The following is a 24,013-nucleotide window of genomic DNA, read 5'->3' as shown; positions in this document are numbered from 1 at the left end:
GCTACCCCCACTACCCCTAGTTGTACCAAAAGTTAGATGAGAAAAGAAATGATTTTTTAGATTGCCTATTATGTGCTGTGTGTTTCCACCACAAATCCCAAAGATACATATGATTATTCCCATTTTGCAATTAAAGAAATTGAGGCTTGGGGTCTTAGGTCGGTTGCCCAAGGCCCCAGTGCTAACACAAGGAAGAGCAAGCATTCAAACCTGGCTTTGCTCACCCCCAGGCCCCTGCCTACGGCTGCCTCTCCCTAGACACCAGCCCAAGTATTTTACCCGCTGAGGACTGCTTCAGGACAACCACCAGCACCGAAAAACACAGCCCAGCATGGGAGGCAAAAGGAGGCTTCCATCCAGCGAGAAAATCAAGAAGCGTGGCTGGACAGCCCCAGGCAGGGAATTTGGGAGGAATGGGAGTGGTGGAGGACAAGGCTCTGCCTGAGGAGCAGGTGAAAAAAAAAAATCTCTTTGAAAAACTGGGTACAGAGACGTGGAATGAAGCATGGGCTACCATCCAAGCTTTGGGATTTAGGTTGTTTTCCAAATTCCTATCAGAAATCCTGTAATTGAAAGGGATTGAAAGCAGGTCATTATGTCCCAAGCAGCAGACAGAGAGGATCAAGAGTTTTCAGGCTGCCCAGAGCCAGCTAACAAAGGGAAAAATATTTCTCTTTCCCCCAGATATTAACCCAGTAACATTCCCACCTCGGGCAAGACTTCCTGCCACTGAAAAATATATATGTTGACCAATTTTGAACGGGAAGTAGCAGAAGTAACTGTTCACCCAGCCAGTAGAACCAGAAGCACAGGCCAGAGCACCACGCTAAGGCCTCAGGATTGGGAGTTTATGTTCTCATGAGCCACAGACGCATGGAGTCACTTATGACCCCCTGACCTTCAGTTTCCTCATCTGAACATGCCCAACATGGAAGTGGGGTTGAAGGTACCACTGGACATTAGAGTTGATACATGTATATAGACGTAAGCGTTTACTCAGCAGCATTCAACGTATTGAGTGCTTTCAAATATAGTCTGACATCCACTGGGGATATACAGAATTGAACAAGACTGACTCAGTCTTTGTCCTGGAGGTCCCCTGGAGTCTCAAGGAAGCAGTGTCTGGGAAACAAATAAGGGTAGTTGATGACTGAACTATGGCTGTGCGATTGCTGTGAAGGGGAATCACAGGATGACCTGACCTGGGATGGTGACATTTGGGCTGAGATGATAACAGTAAAAATCACAACAGCCGACACTTACATGGCACTTAGGATGGGCCAGCACTATTCAGAGACCACAGGGATTCTTTGGAATTAACAATAGGGAGAGATGTGAACAGAGAATGCCAGACAGGTTGGGAGGCATGACAAAGTCCTTGAAGCGAGGAGGAAAACAGCAGGTTCGAGGACTTGAAAGACTATAGTAAGGGGGAGAGTGATACAAGGTGAGCTCAAGAGGGAGGCGGGAGTGGAGCAGGGTCTTATCTACTCTTTGGAAACCAACCAAAGTTTTAAGCAGAAGAATGACAGGACCAGAGAGTAGTTAGGAAGCTATTGCAATGGGCCTGGCAAGAGGTAATGGGGGCTTAGACTTAGCGGGCAGCAATGGAAAGAGAGGGAAACAGGATGAAGGCAAGGTATATTTAAAAGGGAGACCGGCCGGGCGTGGTGCTCATGCCTGTAATCCCAGCACTTTGGGAGATCAAGGTGGGCAGATCACTTGAGGTCAGGAGTTCAAGACTAGCCTGGCGAACATGGTGAAACCCTGTCTCTACTAAAAATACAGAAAATTAGCCGGGCGTGGTGGTGAGCGCTTGTAATCCCAGCTACTCGGCAGGCTGAGGCAGGAGAATTGCTTGAACCTAGGAGACAGAGATTGCAGTGAGCCGAGATTGCACCATTGCACTCCACCTGGGCGGCAGAGCGAGAATTCCGTCTCAGAAAATAAAAATAAAAATAAATAAATAAATAAAAACAAGACCTACTGGGTATTCATGTTTGATAAGTACCAAGGAGAACACTCAGCCTGGGCACCTGGGGCAGTGCTGGCACCAGTTTTCTGAGATGGAGAAAGCTATAGGAGGGGAGAGGTGATGGCACTGCAATGGTCAGTTCTGGTCTGAGAAGCAACAACTCCTCTTTGCTCCACTTCCAGCTCTGCTGATATTTAGTTGTGTGACTCTGGATAAGGCATTTCATAACATCAAAATCAAATGGAGCGGCTGGGCCAGGTGCAGTGGTTCACGCCTGTAATCCCAGCACTTTGGGATCCTGAGGCAGGCGGATCACCTGAGGTCAGGAGTTCAAGACCAGCCTGGCCAATGGTGAAACACCATCTGTACTAAAAATACAAAAAATTAGATGGACGTGGTGGTGGGCGCCTGTAATCCCAGCTACTTTGGAGACTGAGGTAGGAGAATCACTTGAACCCGGGAGTGGAGGTTGCAGTGAGCCGAGATCATGCCACTGCACTCCAGCCCAGATGCAGCAGAGCGAGACTGTCTCAAAAAAAAAAAAAAAAAAAAAAAATGGAGGAGCAGCTGGACTGGAAAATCTGTAGCTCTCCTTTCAGCACCAAACTCAATGGCTCTAGAGCAGGCATTTCAAATGGGTGACTTGGGAAGCTGGATTCAGGAGGCATGGAGTGGTTTATTTGACCCACACATATCAGTGTGGTAAATCCCCATAGCAATCTAAATCTCTGACTTTTCTTGAAAAAAAAAAAAAAGGAGATGTAGAAGATGTACAACACTCAGTCTACGTCAGATCCCCACATGGCGATGGTCGGCAGAGTTGAGTGGCAGCTGTCACTGCAGGATACAGACTCTCCTCCTGCTCCAGGACCCTCATCCCCTTCCACTCACCCACATGCCCCACATGACACCTGTTGAGGATAATACCCTTTTTCTATATAATGATAAGAGAGTAACTCAAATCATCAGTTATTTCTCAAGCTTATCCAACCCATATTCGCTAAATTATTCCTTTTCAGATTAAAAAGAAATAAAAAAGAACAAGAAAAATAAAAATTAACATTATAAAAGCCTCTTGTAATTCCAATACCCAGAGAAAATCGCCATGAAATTGGGGTGTGTTTCCTGCTAGTTTTGCTTGATAAAATTGGGATCATATTAAATGTGTTTTTTAATGACTTTTTTCTCACTAATACTATAACAGGCACATTTTCCCATCCTATTAAAAATTCTTTGGAAACATAATTTGGAAAGACTATATAATTTGCTGAATAATTTAAGCAATTATTCCACCATCATTTCTTAAATTTGTAGATACATCTCAACTCTGATTATTTCTTAAGACAACTTCTTAGAAATGGGATGATGAGGTCAAGGCGAATGTTATACAGTATTGCATCAGTTAATGACTGGGTTATGTCCTGAGCAATGCATCATTAGCCAATTTCGTCATTATGTGAACATCACAGAGCGCACTTACACAAACCTGGATAGTCTAGCCTACTACACACCTAGGCTAGATGATACAGCCTGTTACTTCCAGGCTACAAACCTATGCAGCATGCTATGTACTACTGAATACTGCAGGCAGTGGTACCACATTGGTATTTGTGTATCTAAACATAGAAAAGGTACAGTAAAAATATGGCCACAAGATAAGAAGTGGTACACCTGTATAGGGCAGCTCCATTACAATCTTGTGGGACCACTGTTGTATATGCGGTTCATCACTGACTACAGTGTCGTTATGTGGCACATGACTATATTTCTGAGGCTTTCGAAGTGTTGTCAAATTGCCCTCCAGAAAGTTTGTTCTCACTTTCATCATTCATCTTGCTAATTTTGGGATGTTATCACTTTAGAAAAACTCCTTGAAGAAGTTTTCCAGGTAGGGATATAGGAATCACCTGAGGAAACCCTGCTGTCAACAGAAACCCTACCTTGTGTTTGTAGAGCAGGAATTGTCAAAGTTCTTCTGTAAAGTCCAGACAGTAAATAGAATGGGAAAATGCCCTTGACATAATGTTACTTTTCTGCTTGCCGGCCATAAAGTCTGTCACCTGGCTCCGCTGCTGTAGTGTGAAAGGAATGTAGCCATATATAAACAATGGGGCATGGCTGTGTCCCAATAAAACTTGGTTTATAAAAAAAGAGGCAGTGGACCATATTTGGCCCATGAGCCACAGTTTGCCAATTCCTACTTTATCTCATTTCGTCCTCCCAACAATCTTGAGAATTAGATAGGGCAGGAAATGAGTGTGCCTGTTACACTGATAGAGAAATTGGGGCTCAGAGAAACCAAGTAACTTTTTGACGGTCACACTGCTAGTAATTGGAAGAGCCGGAACTTGAACCCACATTTTCTGACATCTGTTTTAGAGCTCTCTTTATTGCATTATGAGCCCCTTTTCATGAACGTGTAGCAGTGACAGTTAAAAAGCCATGAATGTAAAAAACATCCAAGGCATTTTGCCAAATGCATGGTGTGCTTGAGGGCTCAGAGTTCAGCAAGGGGAATCCTAATTCAATGCTTTCAAGTGCAAGAAATTGCTCTGTAGAGTGCCTTGCATTGTAAAGAGTTAGTGTTAATGCAATGTTTGACAATGATGTGGTTGCTGTTTTAGAAAAGAGCTTGGTGATGGTGGAAGGCAGCTGAATTAATAAACTCCTTCAAATGAAATAAGAAAAAACCCAACTCCAAGTAGTTAAGAGAAAAAGGAAAGTCATTGTTTTTGTTTCTTAGAATTCCAGGGCCAATGGCTTCAGGCACAGCTGGATCTAGGACCTGAAATGATGTCATCAGGGCTCTATCTCTGTCTCCTCTCTCTGCTCTGCTTGTTCCTGCTTCATTATTTAGATTAGATCACTTTATGTGGTAGACAAGAAGGCTTCTGCAAGCTCCAACTGTGTTCAAAAGAAAGGAAGACTCACTCTCCTAACGCCTTATTTCAGTATTTCACAGAAGAACTGTGATCGTCCCTTCTTGGGTCATGTTCCCCCACTGGATCAATCATTGTTCCTGGGAGGGATGCAGCACTCTGATTAACCACTGTTGTTTGGGAATCTATGCATCATATTTGATGCTCAATTGGGATCACATGGGTGGGATAGGAATTGTTCCTTTTAGGAATGAATACTAGTGGACCAAAAGTCCACGAATGCAGCAAAACAACAATCTGAAGAGACTTGCATCCATCCATTCAGTGAGGGCCCCAGTAGCAAGAGAACCTAAGAATTCTCCCAGAAACTGCAGTGTTAGCTTGCTTGCTAGTGTACTTCTAGACTATGAGGGGAAAGTAGAGAAGGGTATTGTTATGGGTTAAATTGTATTCCCCCCAACACACATAAAAAAGGTAAGGACAATGACATCTGCAAGGACACTATTTCCAAGTAAATACTTCCTTCTGAAGTACTGAGCATTAGGACCAGCATGAAGACATCTTATAGATGTCACCACAATATCACTGTTGTCCTTATAGAAGACGGCCATGTGAAAATAGAAACACACGGGATCACCATGTGGTGACAGAGGCAGAGACTGGAGTGACACAGCTGTAAGCCAAGGAACGCCAAAGATTGCCATCAACCACCAGAAGCTAGGAAGAGGAAGCCCCTACTTATTTCAGACTTCCAGCCTCCAGAACTGCGAGAATACATTTCTGCTGTTTTTAAACCACCCGATCTGTGAAGCAGAGCTACAGGAGCCCTAAGAAACAAGCATTCCAGGCAGAAGAAATGGCACCAGGAAGGAGCTGAGGGCATAAAAAGTATGGCCATGGAAGCCTAGAGAGGAGAGAGTTCTAAGGAGGAGGGGTTTGGTCAGCCTGATCACCTACCCCAGGAAGGGGGAAGGCAATTAAGAGGCAGAAAATGTCATCAACATCATCTCCTGCACTGCCCCCCACCCCGCTCCCCTCCGCAGAAGAAAGAGCAGGACCACACCATTGATATGGTCATGAATTATTTCACTGGCATGACACAAACAAGCTCACTCCATCATCACTTGCTGTGAGTCACCATCTGGCATTTTATTGGCTGAGCTTCTTGCTCCTCTGCAACCCGCATCACACCTATTTGTCCACTCTTGCATGGATGACCTTCCAGTTCTTGGAGGAAAGACCCTAATGTAGATATTTTCAAGAGCTTGGCTCTTCCAGGAAAAGTGGCCACAGGTGCCTGGCTTCAGGTGCCCTATGCAAATGTTTATTCTTAACGGAATGTGTCACAGCTAGCCTCACCAAGGCACCTTCCAAGGGCATATCTGCTAAATGATAACACATGGGTACCACAGGAGAGCTCTGTCTGGGCTTCTCCAAGAGTTTCTTCGTGTGCCTTTACAAGGGCATGTGCCTACCTGCAGTCCAGGCATCCACCCTATTGGTGAAAAATAACATCACCCAGAATAAATACTGATTCGTCAAACGCTGTGCAATAAAAACCTTCTCTTCTTTCTACTCAAAGCCTCATTTACATCCAGCGATGTCAAACTACTTAAACAACTTAACTCCAATCCAAGTGCTGGGACTAATAAAGATCAGATGGGGTCTAAAGAGATAATGTATATGAAAGCCTAGCACCCTCTGGGTGCTCCGTAAATGCTACTGCCCTTCCTCCCTGGCTTCCAGGGCCTTCCACCCTAGAAGGGGATGAGTCGTCCTACATCTAATTCCTGGGTGACTGCAGTAATCTCCAGACTGGTGTCCCTGCTTCCTCCCTTGCCCTTATCCTTATAGTCTATTCTCAATACAGCAGCCAGAGGCATCTTGCAAAATGTAAGTCAAATCATGTCACTCCTCTGTTCAAGATCCTCAAAAGATCTTGGCTCTCAACCAGTCTCTCAGTCTCTACACGATTGATATTTGGAGCTGGATAATTCTATTTTGTGGGGGCAGACTTGTGCATTGTAGGATGTTTTGCAGAATCCCTGACCTTTGCCTACTAGAGGCCAGTAGCATCCCACCCCCACTCCCAAGTTGTGACAACCAAAAATGTCTCCAGACATTGCCCATATCCCCTGGGGTCAGAATGGCCCCTGGTTGAGAACCACTCCTCTCCACCCTCTGCAACCCCTGCTGCCCCTCATCTCCCGTGCCCTCTCCTCCCTCACTTCACCAAGCTACATCGTCTTTCCCCAATCCCACATGACTAACTCTCTTACCTCTGCTAAGTCTCGGCTCAAACATCACCATCATAATGTGGCTTCGTGACAGCTGTATTTGAAATTGTGTCCACCATCCCATACCTCCAGGACTCTCTATCCCACTTGCCCTGCAGTTCATTTCATACCTCTTTTTACTTTCTAGTACTTCATAACTTGTTTTATCTATTGATCGTTTTTAGTATGTCTCCCACAACTAGAATATAACTATCTACATGCCTTCATGGGCTTTTGTTTGCTATATCCACTAATGTGTTCTGAGTGCTTAGAACACTGCCTGGTGCATAGGAAGTGTTTGCAAAATATTTGTTGAATAAAGTGAGGTACTATTGTGAATGGTGGATTGAGTCAGCAGCTGCAACAGCCAAATAGGGTGGAGAAAGCACTGTCTTCCTGGTCAGGTGAGCTGAAGTCCAGTCTTGCCCTGGTCACATACTGACCAGGAACCTCAGCCTCTCTGAGTCGTGGTTTTCTCATATGGTAAATGGGATCATATGTGTGTTCCATGGCTGTTGAGAAGATTAGAGGACATGTAGGTGAAAGTGTATCTAGAACAAATCCAGGCACAAGGTAAATATCCAGACATTGCCAAATATCCCCTGGGGCCAAAATGGCCCCTGGTTGAGAACCATTCCTCTATACCCTCAAACCTGCCAGGCAAGCCATTTGGCACTATCCCTGACCTTTGTCTACTAACTCGATGCCAGTAGCATCCCACCCCCCACTCCCAAGTTGTAACAACCAAAAATGTCTCCAGACGTTGCCAAATATCCCTGGAGGTCAAAATGGCCCCCTGGTTGAGAACCACTTCTCTACACCCTCTGCAACCCCTGTCGACTCTGCCACCTCATCTCCCATACTCTCTCCTCCCTCACTTCACCAAGCTACATCACCCTTCTTGCCATTCCTTGAGCCTGCCAGGCAAGCTCCCACCTCCCTTATCATGGCAAGTGATATGTGAAACATAGAAAAGATTGATTGTGCTGAGCTTTAAATAAGAAGTAGAATTTAACAAGTGAAGATATGTGGAGAAGGGGAGGAATCACATCTTGCTGAGTTTCACAGCTTTCTTCTAGAGCATAGAAAAAAGTCAGCCCAGCCTGCATTTCTGGAGCTGGGACATTTGATGTTAGCAATAGCCTAGATATATGGAAGGAACCTCAAGAGAGAGGAAAAACTAAGTTTGGAAATCCTTTGATTTTTGACTTTAGATGTTGACTTTGAAATATGCCATGAACATAAAAGAGAGGATAATGAATGGAGTTGGACTTGTAGCTTGGCACTGAAATTTACAACTCTGAACAAATAGGAAATTCTGAATCCAAAGGATGAAACCTACTAGCAAGTTGAGTACACAGGATTGCCTTCTGGAACAGGGAGTCAACCTAGATCTAAGGAGGCTTTGTTGGGCAAACCAGGTAAACCAGTTGGCCAGTCTGTGCAAGCAACGGTGTGAGAGTGCTGTCAGCCAGATCCCATCCCATTCAACAAGGTGTCTTGATTTGAAAAACACACTGAACTAGATGCTGTGGAATACAGACAAAATTAGAGCATGACCTCTGTCCTCAAAGAGTTGACAGTCTTCTGGGGAAGACAAACAAGGGAAAAACAAACAGTACTATCAAGTAGAATTAAACAAGTGCATGAATTCAGGCAGAGGCAAAGGGTATGGGAGCACAGAGAAGGGAGTGCATAATTCTGCCATAAAAAGTCAAAGGAGACCACATGGAGAAAATTGAATTTGAGCTGGAGCCACAGAAAAGGAAAGAGAATATCTGAGGATGTGGCTAGAATGAGAGATTTATCCAAGGCACCATGGCGAGCTGTAGTTTAGAAGTAAATAAAGAAGGACTTTTAGAAGTAGAAATCAATAATTATTTATTCATTCGATTACAGAATATTACCTGAACCTCTATTACATGTCAGGCATTGAGGTGCTGAGGACATAAATAAAGCAGACTAGGCTCTGCCCTCATGGAGTTTATATTCTAGTGGGAGAAACAGAGAAGAAAGATATAGACAAGGTAAATAATCAAGGTAATTTAGTAAAATAAGCATGAAGAAAACTACTGTGGAAGCTGTAAGGGATAAATTTCCAAAATATATAAGGAATTCCTAAAACTCAATAGCAAAAAAAAAAAAAAAAAAAGCCAAAAAACAAACCTCACCCAGTTTTAAAGTGGGCAAAAACCTTGAATAGATATTTCTCCAAAGAAGACATACAAATGGCTAACAGATATATGAAAAGATGCTGAACATGGCTAATCATTAGGAAACAAAAATCAAAACCACACTGAGATATCACCTCACACCTGTTAGGATGTTAGGATGGCTGTTATTAAAAACAAAAGTGTTGATGAAGCTATGGAAAAATTAAAATACTTACACACTGTTGGTAGGAATGTAAAATGGTGCAGCTGCTACAGAAGACAGTATGGAAGTTCCTTAAAAAAATAAAAGTAGAACTACCGTATGATCCATCAATCCCTCTTCTGGATATATATCCAAAAGAATTGAGATCAGGATCTCAAAGAGATACCTTCACTCTCATGTTCATTGCAGCATTATTCGTAATAGCCAAAATATGGAAGCAACACAAAAGTCCATCGACAGATGAATGGATAAAGAAAATGTGGTATTGCCAGGCGCGGTGCTCATGCCTGTAATCTCAACACTTTGGGAGACCGAGATGGGTGGATCATGAGGTCAAGAGATCGAGACCATCCTGGCCAACATGGTGAAACCCTGTCTCTACTAAAAATACAAAAATTAGCTGGATGTGGTTGTGGGTGCCTGTAGTCCCAGCTACTCGGGAGGCTGAGGCAGGAGAATCACTTGAATTTGGGAGGCGGAGGTTGCAGTGAGCCAAGATCGCACCACTGCACTCCAGCCTGGGTGACAGATCGAGACTCCATCTCAAAAAAAAAAAAAAAAAAAAAAGAAAGAAACAAAGAAAAAAGAAAATGTCTTCTGCTCATACAATGGAATATTATTTAGCCTTAAAAAAAGAAAAAATCCTGATATTTGTTACAACATGGATGGATCTGGAAGACATTATGCTAGGTGAAATAAGTCAGCTACAGAAAGACAAACACTACATGATTCCCCTTATATGAGGCATCTAAAATAGTCAAAGAAATAGAGTAGCAGTTAAATTTCAGAGTTTAAAAAAGAAGAGCCAGCAAAGAATATGAAGGAAGAGAAGAAAAACCATAAGAGTTGTCCTGTCACACAAGCTGAGATGAATAGTGTTTTGCAAAGGAGAGGATGGCTCCTTAGTCAAATGCTTCTGATGAAAGAAGAAAGAGGAGGAGGAGGAGGAAGAAGAGGAGATGGAGAAGGAGAAGGAGAAAAAGAGGAAGAGGAAGAAGAGGAAGAAAGAAGGAGAAGAAGGAGAAGAAGGAGGAGGAGAGGAGGAGGAAGGAGGAGGAGGATGAAGGAGGAGGAGGAGGAGGAAGGTCTTTCAACGACAAGGATGATCTTAGTAAGAGTACTTTCAGTGAAGCTGTGGGGACAGATATGTGGTTAGAGTTTGTTGTCCTGCCTGGACTAATTGTTGAGGGACCTTGCCTGGATGTGGCTGGGGCGTTCTGTGTGATCTGACATCACACATTTGGAGAGAAGTGGGAATAGACAGGAGAGATTCAGAAAGGAAAAGGGACATCTGAGAGCCCACAGTGAGTTTGTGCTAGACTGGACTGGGCCGCAGGTGCCTGGATTCTCCTGTCCAATGTTCTGCTTCACTCCATTGACTGGACTTCCATTCTAGAGTCAAATTCATTTCCACCTTTTCTGTAAGGCTGTGACCATTACAACACCCAATCCCAGCCTGAATTCAGCCACGAATCTCCCCAGATTGGGCCAGTTCCTAAAGATGCCTATCCAATTGCCAAATCAAACTCTCATTCCAACCACACCTACTATTCAGCTCCTGGGAACTTCCTGCCTCCCTCTGAGGCCTCACCTTCCTCATGACACTCCAGCAGAACTGAGCTCTTTGTAGTTCCCTAGACATTATTTACATCTCCTTACCTTTGACCATGCTGTGTCTTCTGCAGGGAATCCCTTGCTCTGAATTCCTATCAACATACATGCCTATCTGTGTACACACACACACACTTCTCTCCAGCTTGCTTTTCACTCAATCTTGTGTCTTTTTTTATTTTATTATGATTATTTTTTTTTTCCGAGAAGGAGTCTTGCTCTGTCGCCCAGGCTGGAGTGCAGTGGTGCGATGTCGGCTCACTGCAAGCTCAACCTCCCAGGTTCATGCCATTCTCCTGCCTCAGCCTCCCGAGTAGGTGGGACTACAGGCGCCCGCCACCACGACCGGCTAATTTTTTTTTGTATTTTTAGTAGAGATGGAGTTTCACCGTGTTAGCCAGAATGATCTCGATCTCCTGACCTCATGTTCCACCCGCCTTGGCCTCCCAAAGTGCTGGGATTACAGGCATGAGCCACCGCGCCCAGTCAATCTTGTGTCATTTTGATATGACTCTAATTTGTTTCTTTCAATGGTTTCAAAATATTCTTTGATGTGATTGAGCCACAATTTATTCCACCAGTCCCCTACCAATGAGGATTTATGGTATGCACACTGCCCTGCAGTCTTCCATGAACAATGGTACAGTAAACATCCTAGTACAGATGTGTTACATACTAGCGCATTTGGAAGGGTCTTCTTCCCCTGGCACACTCCTCGAAAGCTGGATAGAGGATCACTGCTTCTGAAAAACTCATCACCGATTACCCAGAAAGAGTGAATTCCTCCTTCCTCTAAGCCTCCTTAATCCCAGGTGCTAGAGCATTTTCAGGGGTATGTCAAAGCTTCTGGTAAGCTCCTCCAGGATAGGAACAGCGTTATCCATCTCTGAAGCCCCTGAGTCTAGCATTGCGTCTGCCACAACATGTATGTCCAATATGTATGTGTTGAGTTTAATTGCAAAGAATTTGAGCTTTGAAACCATACTGATTAGACTTCAAATTGTCGTGGTTCTGTCACCAGCCTCTGAGCTTTGTTTTCTCACCTGTAAAGGGGAAGAATAATTCCCAAGTGTGCATGGTTCTCAGAAGGATGTGATGACATCATGTAGAGCTGGCCGCACAAGGCCTGTCACGTGGGTGCCATTTGAAAATGGAAGCTGTTGGCTGGGCACAGTGGCTCACGCCTGTAATCCCAGCACTTTGGGAGGCCGAGGTGGGCAGATCACAAGATCAAGAGATTGAGACCATCCTGGCTAACACGGTGAAACCCCGTCTCTACTAAAAAAAAAAAAAACAAAAAATTAACCGGGAGTGGTGGTGGGTGCCTGTAGTCCCAGCTACTCGGGGGGCTAAGGCAGGAGAATGGCGTGAACCCAGGAGGTGGAGTTTGCATGAGCCAAGATCGTGCCACTGCATTCCAGCCTGGGCAACGGAGCGAGACTCTGTCAAAAAAAAAAAAAAAAAAAAAAAAAAAAAGAAAGAAAAGAAAAGAAAGAAAATGGAAGCTGTTATGATTGGTGTTTGTCTGGAGAAGGAGGCTACACTGAGACTTTGCACTGGCACAGGGCCCTGTCCACACACCTCCGGGCTTCTGCAGATAGGGAAACTCCCTAGGACAAGCTGGCAGTTCTGACAAATGCCCAGATAAATCTTGCTGGTGCCAAGCTGTCTGGGACCTGTTGCCTCTGCCCAGCTCCTTCCAAATACCCAGGCCCTTCCCTGATGAGATGACTGGCTTCCAGCCCTGGGATACGCCTTAATGAACCAGCATTGTGGACATCACCCAGAACTTCTCTGCAAGTGGACACACTGTGAAGGCAGGAGGCTTGATGAAAGACAGTATTTCTTTCAATATGCGTGCTCAAGGGCAGGGGCTGGGAGGGCTCCTCAGGGGAGATCTTGGGCCAGTATCATCTGAGATACCTTTCAGGTAGTCTTCATCCTCAGAGTTCATCCTGGGGCTGGAAGAGTGCTCTGGACCACTGGATAGGGGATTGACCACACAATGACAGTTTGGATGAGAGCTGAACAATGTCTTCAAGACAGATATTTCCTCCAGTTCACCTGTGGTCCTCATGCAACAACAACCAGCAGGACACCTGGGCTCTGATTAGGTTTCTGGCCATCATGGGGCTCCTAGGGCAAAGGGGAAATTCTTCCCCCTCACTGGGTCCCTGTCTGTGATCTCGCCTCCCGCTCACCACTTGCTAGCTCAGGGAGACTTTCATCAAGTTTGCAGTGAGAAGAAAAACAACAAAAGCAGGCAACTGAATCTGTCAGCCTTCATGCAGCTTAGCTGGCTTTTAGCTTAATAATCAGAAAAGTGGCACCTTTGATTTCAGATTCCATAGTAACTTCCTTCCCCCAGAGCAGTGACTCATCTCTCTAGAGGGTACCCTTGGGTGAAAGAGAAGAAACGTGTTACTCTGGGGCTGGGGTGGGGTGCAGAGTTGCAGGAGGCACTTTTTAATAACGTCTCCAGCATCAGCCCAGCACACCAGATGCCAGCTGTTCTCCCAGTGTCTCCAGAATCACCCCAACCTAAGATGCCATGTCCCAGGCAGCTGAACAATAGCCCTAGGTTGCTGCACTCTGATTCCAGGAGAGGATGTGGCAAGCACCTGCTCCTGGCTCTCCCTTCTCAGATTTGGTGGTGGTTTTGAAAAGACACTAAGCAGGGACAGGGTTGTGTTAGGTGAGGGTATTTTGTCAGGTCTGGAAGATATATGACAAGGCTTGCAGGTGGATGGTAAATTAACAAACCCACAAGATGATACTTCCTGCTGACTGTCCAGCCAGGTCAGGGGCCAAAGAAAGTTCTCCGGCCCATTTGGACTCTTACCAAGCCTAGAGGCCTCCTGGGACATTGCAGAGTTTTCTCTCTACCCTTAGTTTCTGTTTCAACCACATTTGTTTCTTCCATGAAACAAGAGCTCAGACTAGAGGGAAAGTGGCCTTAGATTCAGACAGAACTTTGTTCAGTCTTTGGCCCGGCACAGCTGAGGTGTGTGACAAGGGGTACATCTGTTACCTCTCTGAGTCTCAGTTTCTGCATGAGTCCAACTATAATCATATCAGGATCTCCTCCATAGGGTTTCTGTGATGATTAGATGAGATAATGGATATAAAGCGCCTGCAAGTTTTGGTGTCTGGTACACGTTAACGTATCAATCTAAGCTAGTGATGATACCCATGCTGATGATGACAATGAAAGTTATTAAGCCATCATGGTGTATTGCCTTGTTTATCATCTAGGGCGTGTACTTTACATACCTATGTGTGCATACATATGCCATTATCCCTCTTCTCTCCATTCTGGTCATCTGCACCATCTTAGACACCCTTTGATCAAAAGGAATGATGAAACCAGAGTGACGTTTCTGTGACATATCAAAGGGATCCAATTATCCCATTTCACTGATTGGAATGGTAAATCCTCCCAATCCTGTACCTGTAGCCACCATCATTTTCCCATTCAACAAACATTTTCTGTGCATCTCCTGTGTGTCAGGCATTATTCTAGCAACTGGTAGCACTGATAGGCATTACCTGTAGCAACAAAAGAGAGCAACAGAAGCAAAGCCCCTTCCCTCATGACATGAACATTCTGGTGGCAGATTTGCATGAGAAATATGCAGGCCAGAGTCCAGTCTTTCTATCAGAACCACTATCTTCACTGGAACATCGCTTTCCCAGGTGCCTCCCCACCCCAATTCCAACTCCAGAACCATCCCTCAGGGACAGACAAGACTGGCTGCAGAAATGGCTTCCCCAAAGCTGGAAGGGTGCAATTCACAGCTTGGAAAACAATCTCAGTCTCTGCTAAACCAGAAACCTGGCATCACCTTTGACCTCTCCTTCTCCCTCTCCTACTCTACCCATATCTAGGCTGCCCTCCATCTGGGTCCCCTCCCGCCCAGCACTCATCCCCTGTGCCACTATCCACACTCTCACCCTTGCCATCTCTTGCCTGGGTTTCAGCAACAGCCTCCCCGCCTTTATCCCCTTTGAGTCCAACTCCCACAGAGTAGCCACACCTCCACAGAGTAGCTCATATGCAATCGTGCCACTCTGGAGCTCCATACCCATCAGGGCTCCCAGGAGATGATTTTGCCCCCAGGAGAAAGCCTATACTCCTCAGCACTGTCCTGCACATCAGAGCCACGCTCATTTCTCTGGCATCACCTCATTTGGGGAAACTTACATATGGTAAAACCTTCAGCTGTATTGAACTCTTGGAACTCACCATCTTTCTCTCATCCCTAAGCCTTTGCACGTACAAATCCTTCTGTCTAGAATACGCCCTCTGCCCCTCCTTCATCCTACTAAGCCCAACTCATCTTTGAACTCTCAGCTTAAATGTTGCTTCTTCGAGAAAGCCATCCCTGGCTCTTCAAGTCCTGATGGGGTACCCTCCTGGGAACTCCCATGGCTGCCAACCTTCCACTATCATGGCACTATGTCAGATCTGCCTGTTGGCTTGTCTGCCTTCCCTAGTACACAGTGAGCTTCTTGAAATCTTTTGTTTATTGTGCCTGAAACATGGAAGACAGGCTTGGTCGTTTCATCCATGAGCAATGACCGAACGGCCCATGCTCTGCATCAAGACCCACAGTGGGGAGGGTCCTGCTCAGCTGTGTTGGGGGCAACCCTTGACTCCTGTTGCTGGGTCCCTCTCTGGGGGAGGAGATAGTGAGAAGGAGAAGCTGCCTCCCTCTTCATTTCTGACACAACACCCTATATGTGGGAACCTCCCCTCTTCCCTCTTCCCCACAGCTCCATAGAGCATCCCCCTTTTCAAAGCATGACCACCTTTGCCAAAGAACATCCTACGTACCCTTAATCCCAAGAAACCTACTTCATCCTGCTGAACCTACTCTACTTCTTAGGAGGCGAAAGGAAGAGTTATTGTTTTGTGTTTTTCTCAACACCCAGAAAGGAATCCACATCAGATTCTGCCCTGAGATCCATTTTTTCCCACTTGAACCCCATCTGGGGCCCTCCAAAGGGGATTGGGCTTCGTCCTAACCAGGTGCCAGCCCTGGTAAAACAACAGCCACTTCTTTCTGCCCACATCAGTGTCAGTGGCCAACCAATCCATGTCCCAATGGGAGGCGACTATCCACAAAGCTCTCTTTCTCTCGCCACTTCTGCATTATATAGAATTCCCAGGGAGGGGCCTGGGTCTGTCTTCTTGACCAAGGCCAAGGGGCTCCCCAGGCCCCACCCAGTTTCCCAATGTGGGAACCACCCCAGCTGGCCGCCTCCCCAGCTCACAGGCTGCAGGGAGAAAGAAAGGGCTGTTGAGAGTGATTCTGGGTTCCCACGCAGGAAGGTGCCAGCTCAAGACAGCGTGGCTTTGTGCTTGGGAGAGTCTGTCTTCTCACCAGGCGGAGGGACATAGCAGCCTGTGGAGAGATCAGAGAGATAGCAAAGGATGGCGGGGCCATCCCTGCCCCAAGCAGCAGGAACATTGGAAGCACACGCCTGCCCTAGGGGAGAAGACGCCTGACTCCAGACTTAGCGCTGAGACTTCTCCAAGACAATCCATTTCTCTGCAGCCCCACACATCAGTTTCTTTACGTTGATGACTGCTCACTGAGAAAATAGCTCCAAACCAAAACATACCATGCATCTTAATTTTATTCCTCATCTACATATGTTTATTTTATTTTATTTTTTGCCAGATAGTCTATGTTTGCATTTTATTTTTACATGTATTTAAAGATGGATCAGTACTGTATAGATGGACCCAAGGATGGGCAAGACATTGTGTATTAATAGGGCTATGCAGACCTTTTTTTAATAAATGCAGCTCCCTGGGGATCTACAGATGTTCTTCATCTTCCATCACTAGTGAAAGGACACATCCAGCCTGCTGGCCATGATGGATGGGGGAGGAAGAGCAAAGGAGGGTAGAAAGTCTCTCATAGTTGTTTAGACTCTCTTCATTATGACTTTTCTCTGTAACAACTGCTGCTCTCCAGAATTTAGGGCTCAAAGCCCTGGAAAGTTCCCAATTTGAATGGAACCATGGATGCTGACAACTTGTGAGGGACACTTGAGATCATCCAATCCAACAAGCTCTGGAGAACAAATGTGACTCCGCATACACTAAACGTGTGTGTGTGTACCTGTGTGAGAGCGTGTGTGTGCACCTTTGTGAGAGCATGTGTGTGCACCTGTGTCACAGCGTGTGTGTGTACCTGTGTGAGAGCATGTGTGTGTGCACCTGTGTGACAGTGTGTGTGCACCTGTGTGATAGCATGTGTGTGTACCTGTGAGAGCATGTGTGTGCACCTGTGTGACAGCGTGTGTGTACCTGTGTGAGAGCGTGTGTGACAGCGTGTGTGCATCTGTGTGAGAGCGTCTGTGTATACCTGTGTGAGAGCGTGTGTGCACCTGTATGACAGCGTGTGTGTGTGCACTTGTTTGAGAGCATGTGTGTGTGTGTGCACCTGCGTGAGAGCGTGTGTATGTGTAGCTGTGTGAGAGCGTGTGTGCACCTGTGCGACAGCATGTGTGTGTAAGTGTGGGTGTGTCTGTGTGTGTGAGGGAGGGTGTGTTTTTAGGTGGATGTGTGAGTATGTATGTGAGATGAGTGTGAGAGGATGCGGGTGAGTGTGCAGGTGAGTGTGAGGAAGTAAGAGTGAGTGTGGGTGTGGATGGGTGTGTGTATGTGACAGGAGGTGTGTGAATGTGTGCGTGTCTGTGAGCATGGGTGGGAGTGTAAGTGTGTAAGAGTGCATGTCAATGCATGTGTGTGTGTGAAAATGGGCGGGTTTTGTAGAGAATGGAAAGAAGATCTAGTGAGGATCCCTAGCACCCTAACCCGTGCACCCCAAAAACCTCTGTAAACGAAAAAAAGCTTTGAAAACAACTGAGCTAGTTCAAGCTGATTTAACATCATCACTTGACAGATATGTAAACTGAAACCCACTGAAGAAAGAGATGTGCCAAATAGCCTTATGGTGCCAGGGCTAGAATCCGCGTCTCTTGACTTCCACCCGGTCCACCACACTTTGCTCCGTTGTCAATAGAATTGCTCTTGCTATTCCTGAACACCGTAGTGGTCACCTAGGGGTGTGCTGTCAGCGCTGCCTTTTTAGGAAGGGGGGAATCCCCCCATGCCCTCCTACTCACCACGTCCCACACTTACCTCATTACTCCAGACATTCATCTCATCACTTACGATAAAAGTAGCACATGCTCGTTATATACAATCCACATAGCCACATTCTGCAAGAACAGTTCTTTTGCACAGCATGCTTCCTGGCAATGACTGATAGGTCTCTAGGAAGAGCAGCTGAACCAAGATTGGCCAGTTAGAGCTCTTCCCTGAGAGTCCTCACAACACAGTGAAGAAAGGGAGTCATCCCTCTTCAATGCCTAATGCTGTAAGATACAAAACTCACCTTGTGGAAGAAGCCACAAAGCCACCATAACAAAGACTGAATCCAAACGATAGAGAAGTAGGGTTAAAAGACAGCAGAGGATCCCTCTTTCCAGCTTTTCAGAGACCCAGCGTCATCTCTGGTCTTGCTGTAACTTGAATGTTTAGTCCTCTCTCTGTTTTGTGCTTATATTAATTAATTAAGCAGGATCTTTTCCCCCCTATAGCCTAAAGCCAAAATATACCAGTGTAATCAGATTCCCTCAGACTTTTTTGCATCCACTCCTCAAATCTCTATTCTCCTTTTTATGAAATGTATTTTACTATAATATAAAAATCAATGCATGTGAGGGAGATATATCTAGTTCTAATTTCTATATTGGGAACAAGAGAACTTAGAAGCGTATAAGTTAGGGGAAAAGATGGAAATAAAACAAATCTCATTACCAATCCTGAAATCTTTCCAAGAAGCCGTGATGATGTATATTAAATGGTATAAGTAACAGAGGCCCAAAATAATATTCCTTAAACATGATACAAGTTTAATTTTCTTATGCAGTGAAGTCCAGAAGTAAGCAGTCTGGGGCTAGTATAATGACACTGTTCCATGAAGACCTCAGGGAGTCAAGCTCCTTCTAGCTTGTTGCTTTCATTGCATTCTCAGTTTTCTTATCTGAAAAGTACAGGTATTGCTATACCTGCCTCATGGCCCAAGATGGCTGCCCTATCCTGCCATCCAATTTGCATTTCATCCAACAGAAAGAAAAAAAGGATGAAGAAGAAGGGAGAGAATGTGTCAGCTCCCCTTTAAGGAAGTCTCCCAGCAGTTATCAGATGACACTTCCACTTAAATCTTACCAGAACATAATCATATGGTCACAACTAATTTGAAAACAGTCTGGAATATACAGCTTTGACTCTGGACAACCATGTATAAAACTACAAATTAGGAGTTCTTTAACCTTGGAACAAGGGAGAATGGGCATTAGAGAACAACGTGCCCACCACTGCTGTCACTGTTACGCTCTCTTCTTTTACAGATTCTGCCATCTTTCTAGTGGTTACTCCAACTGTAGCAAATGACAGCCGTTCTCTTTTCTCTGATGCCTAATTTGCATACACCAGTGTTTATGACTCCAGACTAGAGAAACTAGGGTGTAGAGCTAGAGAGAATAAAATGAGCCTCACTTGGAGGTTGGGACCAAAGGGATCTGTTGGAGAATTCAGGAACAGACCATGTGGTTCCATTTTTCTCTTCCCCAAAGATTTTTGGCTCTAATCCTCACCAACCTGCTGGCCCATAAGGAATGACAAGCTAGAAAGCTCCCCCAACACACACCTCCCATCCCTATTTTATTAGAGAAAAATATCTCCTGACAGGATATCAGAGCATTCAGCATAATTTTTGGAGGCAGTAAAGGGTGTAGTTAAAGGACTAGCCTTAGTGTCTAAGAACCCGGTTTCAAATCCCAGATCTACAAGCCTAGGGAAATTACTTAGCCTATGACTCAGTTTCTGTATCTGCAAAATATAGATTTACATACCTGCCTCATAGGATTTTTGAGAAATTATAAAAGGTAACCTAAGTCAGGCACATAATAGTAAGAGCTTAATAAATGTCAACTGTTTTTATTCAATGTCTCCTTTGTTCCAGGGCCCTGCTAAGAATGTAGCAAATGCAAGGGTGAGTTTGTGAAATCATGTGGCTCCTAGAACACAGGGCACCATGAGCCTGGGCCCACTCTGGATCCTAAGGGGAGTTTCAGCAGCAGCAATCTGAACACTGGGGCCTTTCATGGGGCAGATGGCAGGTCCAGGAGTGCACGGGGACAATGTGAAGCTAAAAGCCAACCTCTCCTCCTTCTCCCTGCCCTCATCCCCAGATAGACTCACTGGAAGCATTTTTGTGTAGCATGCATTACATTTGGGCAGCCCTAATTCCATGCTGTTTGTCCCTTTACATCAGTTCTGCAATGGGATTGCTGGCTCCTTGAAATACCTGCAGCTTCCAACAACAACAACAAAGGAAGAAGGGAAGGCAGGAGTGGAGGAAGGAGGAGGAAGGAAGAGGGGAAGGAGAAGGAGAAGGAGAAAGGAAGGAAAGGAGTGAAGGGAGGAGGGAGGGGGAAATGAGGGAAGTGAGGAGAAACAAAACTGATTGTCATTTTCACTGAAAAGTTAATAACAATGTAACAATTTCTCATCCACAGGAAGAGGGGAAAGAGAAGGGGAAAGGAGTGAAGGAAGGGGGGGTGGAAATGAGGGAAGTGAGGAGAAACAAAACCGATTGTCATTTTCATTGAAAAGATAATTATGTAACAATTTCTCATCCACAGTTTCTTTTAACACTTCTAAACAATTGATTACTTTTAAAGTAAAACCTAATTTACACTCTTCATGTATACTTTCTACTTCTGCATCTATGAGGTGATTTTTCAAACATTTATATCACTCCTTGTGGTAAAAGTGTCCTTGTATACAATTCAAACACTGTGAAGGAGCATAAAGTAAAGAACAACCAAGCTGGGCACGGTGGCTCACACCTGTAATCCCAGCACTTTGGGAGGCTGAGTCAGGCGGATCAGGTCAGGAGATGGAGACCATCCTGGCTAACAGGGTGAAACCCCGTCTCTACTAAAAATACAAAAAAATTAGCTGGGCACGGTGGTAGGCACCTGTAGTCCCAGCTACTCGGGAGGCTGAGGCAAGAGAATGGCATGAACCCGGGCGGACTTGCAGTGGGCAGAGATGGCGCCACTGCATTCCAGCCTGGGCGACAGAGCGACACTCCGTCTCAAAAAAAAAAAAAAAAAGAAAGAAAGAAAGAAAAGTGATCTCCTCTTGGAAGCCTTCCCCGATCCTCTTCTTTCCCGACCTTGACTGACTGACTTTTCCAAAAACCTAAGCGAAATGCAGAAGGAGAGCTCTCTTATATGATGCCTTATGGAGATAAAAATGAACACATACTAAAGTATACAGTGGTATGGATTTGGAAGGCAACCCAGCAATTTAGCAAATAAAAATGTGCATCCCCTTTGACCCAGCAACCCACTTTAAGGAACTTGACCTACCCAAAAACCTAAGCAAGTGCGCAAAGACGGTGTGCCAAGACTTTGCAATACTTTTGTGTGATCAGCAGGGACTGGTTTAATAAACTTTAGTACTATAGGCTACTCCATGCTGATAGAAAAATATGTCAAGATATTTGTCATCTTGAAAAAAACTAAGTGTCAAATGATATACATAGTATGATCCCTTCAGTCTTACAGAAAGCATGATGGAAGGAAAGAGAGAATAAAGAAAGGGGAAAAGGGAGGGAGGGAAGGAGGAAGGAATGAAAGAAGGAAGCAAGGGAGGAAGGGAGTGAGTGAGTGAGGAAGAAGGAATGGAGAAGAAAGAAAGGGAGGAAAGGAGTGAGCGAGTGAGGGAGAAGGAATGAAAGAAGGAAGGAAGGAAGGGAGGAAGGAAGGAAGAGAGATTGTATGTTACCCTGAGATTTGGTTCTAAAGTCTGTGAATAAAACAAAAAGGGGCATAATTTAGCAGGGTTTCACTGTGTTAGCCAGGATGGTCTTGATCTCCTGACCTTGTGTTCCGTGAGGAGATCACTTTTCAACCAGACCTTGAAGGATGGCATGGTATTCAGAGAAACAGACAAAGGACATTCCAGGTAGAGGCTGGAATATGGAGTCAAAGACATTCATGGAGCTTGGTCGAGGTGGGGAGGTGGTTCATTATTCCTTGGTAAATCCTTGGCCATCACGTTACCTAGACCACAGCCCACCGCAAGGCAGGCTTAGATATTTGAACAAAATACATCAAGACAGACAAATAAGCAATTACATTCCAACAGGGGGAAACAGACAATGAACAGAAAATAAAGTCAACTGGATGGCATGTTAGATGGAGATAAGTGTTATGGGGAATAAAAATCAGGGATGGGAGATGGGGAATGTGCATGGGGAGCAGAAGGGGCCACCGTGTTAAACAAGGTGACCAGAGAAGGCCTCATGAGAGGGGTTACATCTGATAATGACCCATAGCAGGTGAAGGAAGGAGCCTTCCAGATTCCTGGGGAAAGAGCATTCCAGGGAGAGGGCCAGCAAGGACGAAGGGCCTGAGGTGGGAGAGTCCTCAGTGAGTTGGAGAAAGAGCAAGGTGGCCACATGGCCAGAGCAGAGTGAGAGAGGGGACAAAGGGGACAAGAGAGCTGAAGTCCTAAGGCCCTGGTGCTGAATGCCTGAAGGTGTCAGGCTCTGTGGCTTGTTTGGATTGTTTGGTTTGGGTTATTCTTTAGAGTAAGATGAGAAACTATTGAGAGGTTTTGAATAGAGGAGTGACACACTCCGACATGTGGTTCAAGGAGACCCTTCTGGGTAAAAGAGAGATGAGGACCAAAATGAGACCAATTCAAAGATTACTGGCATAATGCAGGTGATTTGGGCCAAGGTGAAGCAGTAATGGTGGAGGAAAATGACCATATTCTGAATGTATTTTGAAGGTAGAGGCTTTAGGATTTGCTCATGGATTGGGTGTGAGGTGTGAAAGATGAGAAAGCATCGAGAGAGCCGCAGGGTTTTGACCTGATGCTGCCATTAACTGAAGTAGGACTTAGTTTGGAGCTGGGGGAGAGATTCAAGGGCTCAGTTACAGATATAGTGTGTGATTTCGTTGGACATCAGAGTGCAGATGTCAAGAAAGCAGTTAGACATGTTAGAACAAATTCAGGGAGAGGTCAGGGCTAGAAGTATAAACAGATGAGTAATCAGCATATAGATAGTGTTAAGAGTCATTAGGCTACATGAGGTTACTAAAGGAATGAGTATGGACAGAAAAAGAGAAAAGGTCTGAGAGCTGACCCCTGAGACACTTCACTGATACAAAGTCAGGAAGGTAGAGGGGAATCTGTGATGGCGACTAAGGGAGGGCAGCCAGCAAGGTAGGAGGTTGGGTCCTAAAGGCCAAAACACACAAGTGTTTGACAGAAGAGCGCGTGATTAAATTCTGCTGCTAAAAATTCGCGATTGCAAAAATATGGAACCAGCCCAAATGCCTATTAATCAATGAAATTAATGGATAAAAATCTGTGATATATGTGAGACATATATATATATATATATATACACACACTGTGGCATACTACTCAGCCATAAGAAGGAATAAAATAATGGTATTTGCACCAACCTGGATGGAATTGGAAACCATTATTCTAAATGAAGTAACTCAGGAATAGAAAACCAAACATCATATGTTCCTCACTCATCAGTAGGAGCTAGGCTATGAGGATGCCAAGGCATAATAAGGAGGATACAATGGGCCAGGTGTGGTGGCTCACACCTGTAATCCTAGTACTTTGGGAGGCCAAGGTGGGTGGATCACCTGAGGCCAGGAGTTCAAGACCAGCCTGGCCAACATGGCAAAACCCTGTCTCTATTAAAAATACAAAAATTAGCTAGGCGTGGTGGAACATGCCTGTAGTCCCAGGTATGTGGGAGGCTGAGACA

General features: G+C 45.2%; 1 protein-coding gene across 18 annotated transcripts in view; it reads left to right on the top strand.

The window, feature by feature from the left end:
- Positions 1 to 24,013, top strand: part of SYN3 (synapsin III) — a 550,562-nt gene that overhangs the window by 369,260 nt on the left and 157,289 nt on the right. The window lies entirely within an intron of this gene.

This window comes from Homo sapiens, chromosome 22 (genome assembly GCF_000001405.40).
Source record: "Homo sapiens chromosome 22, GRCh38.p14 Primary Assembly".
NCBI classification, from domain to species: domain Eukaryota; kingdom Metazoa; phylum Chordata; class Mammalia; order Primates; family Hominidae; genus Homo; species Homo sapiens.
The sequence above is the reverse complement of the archived record's forward strand: the minus strand, read 5'-3'. Positions and strand labels throughout refer to the sequence as shown.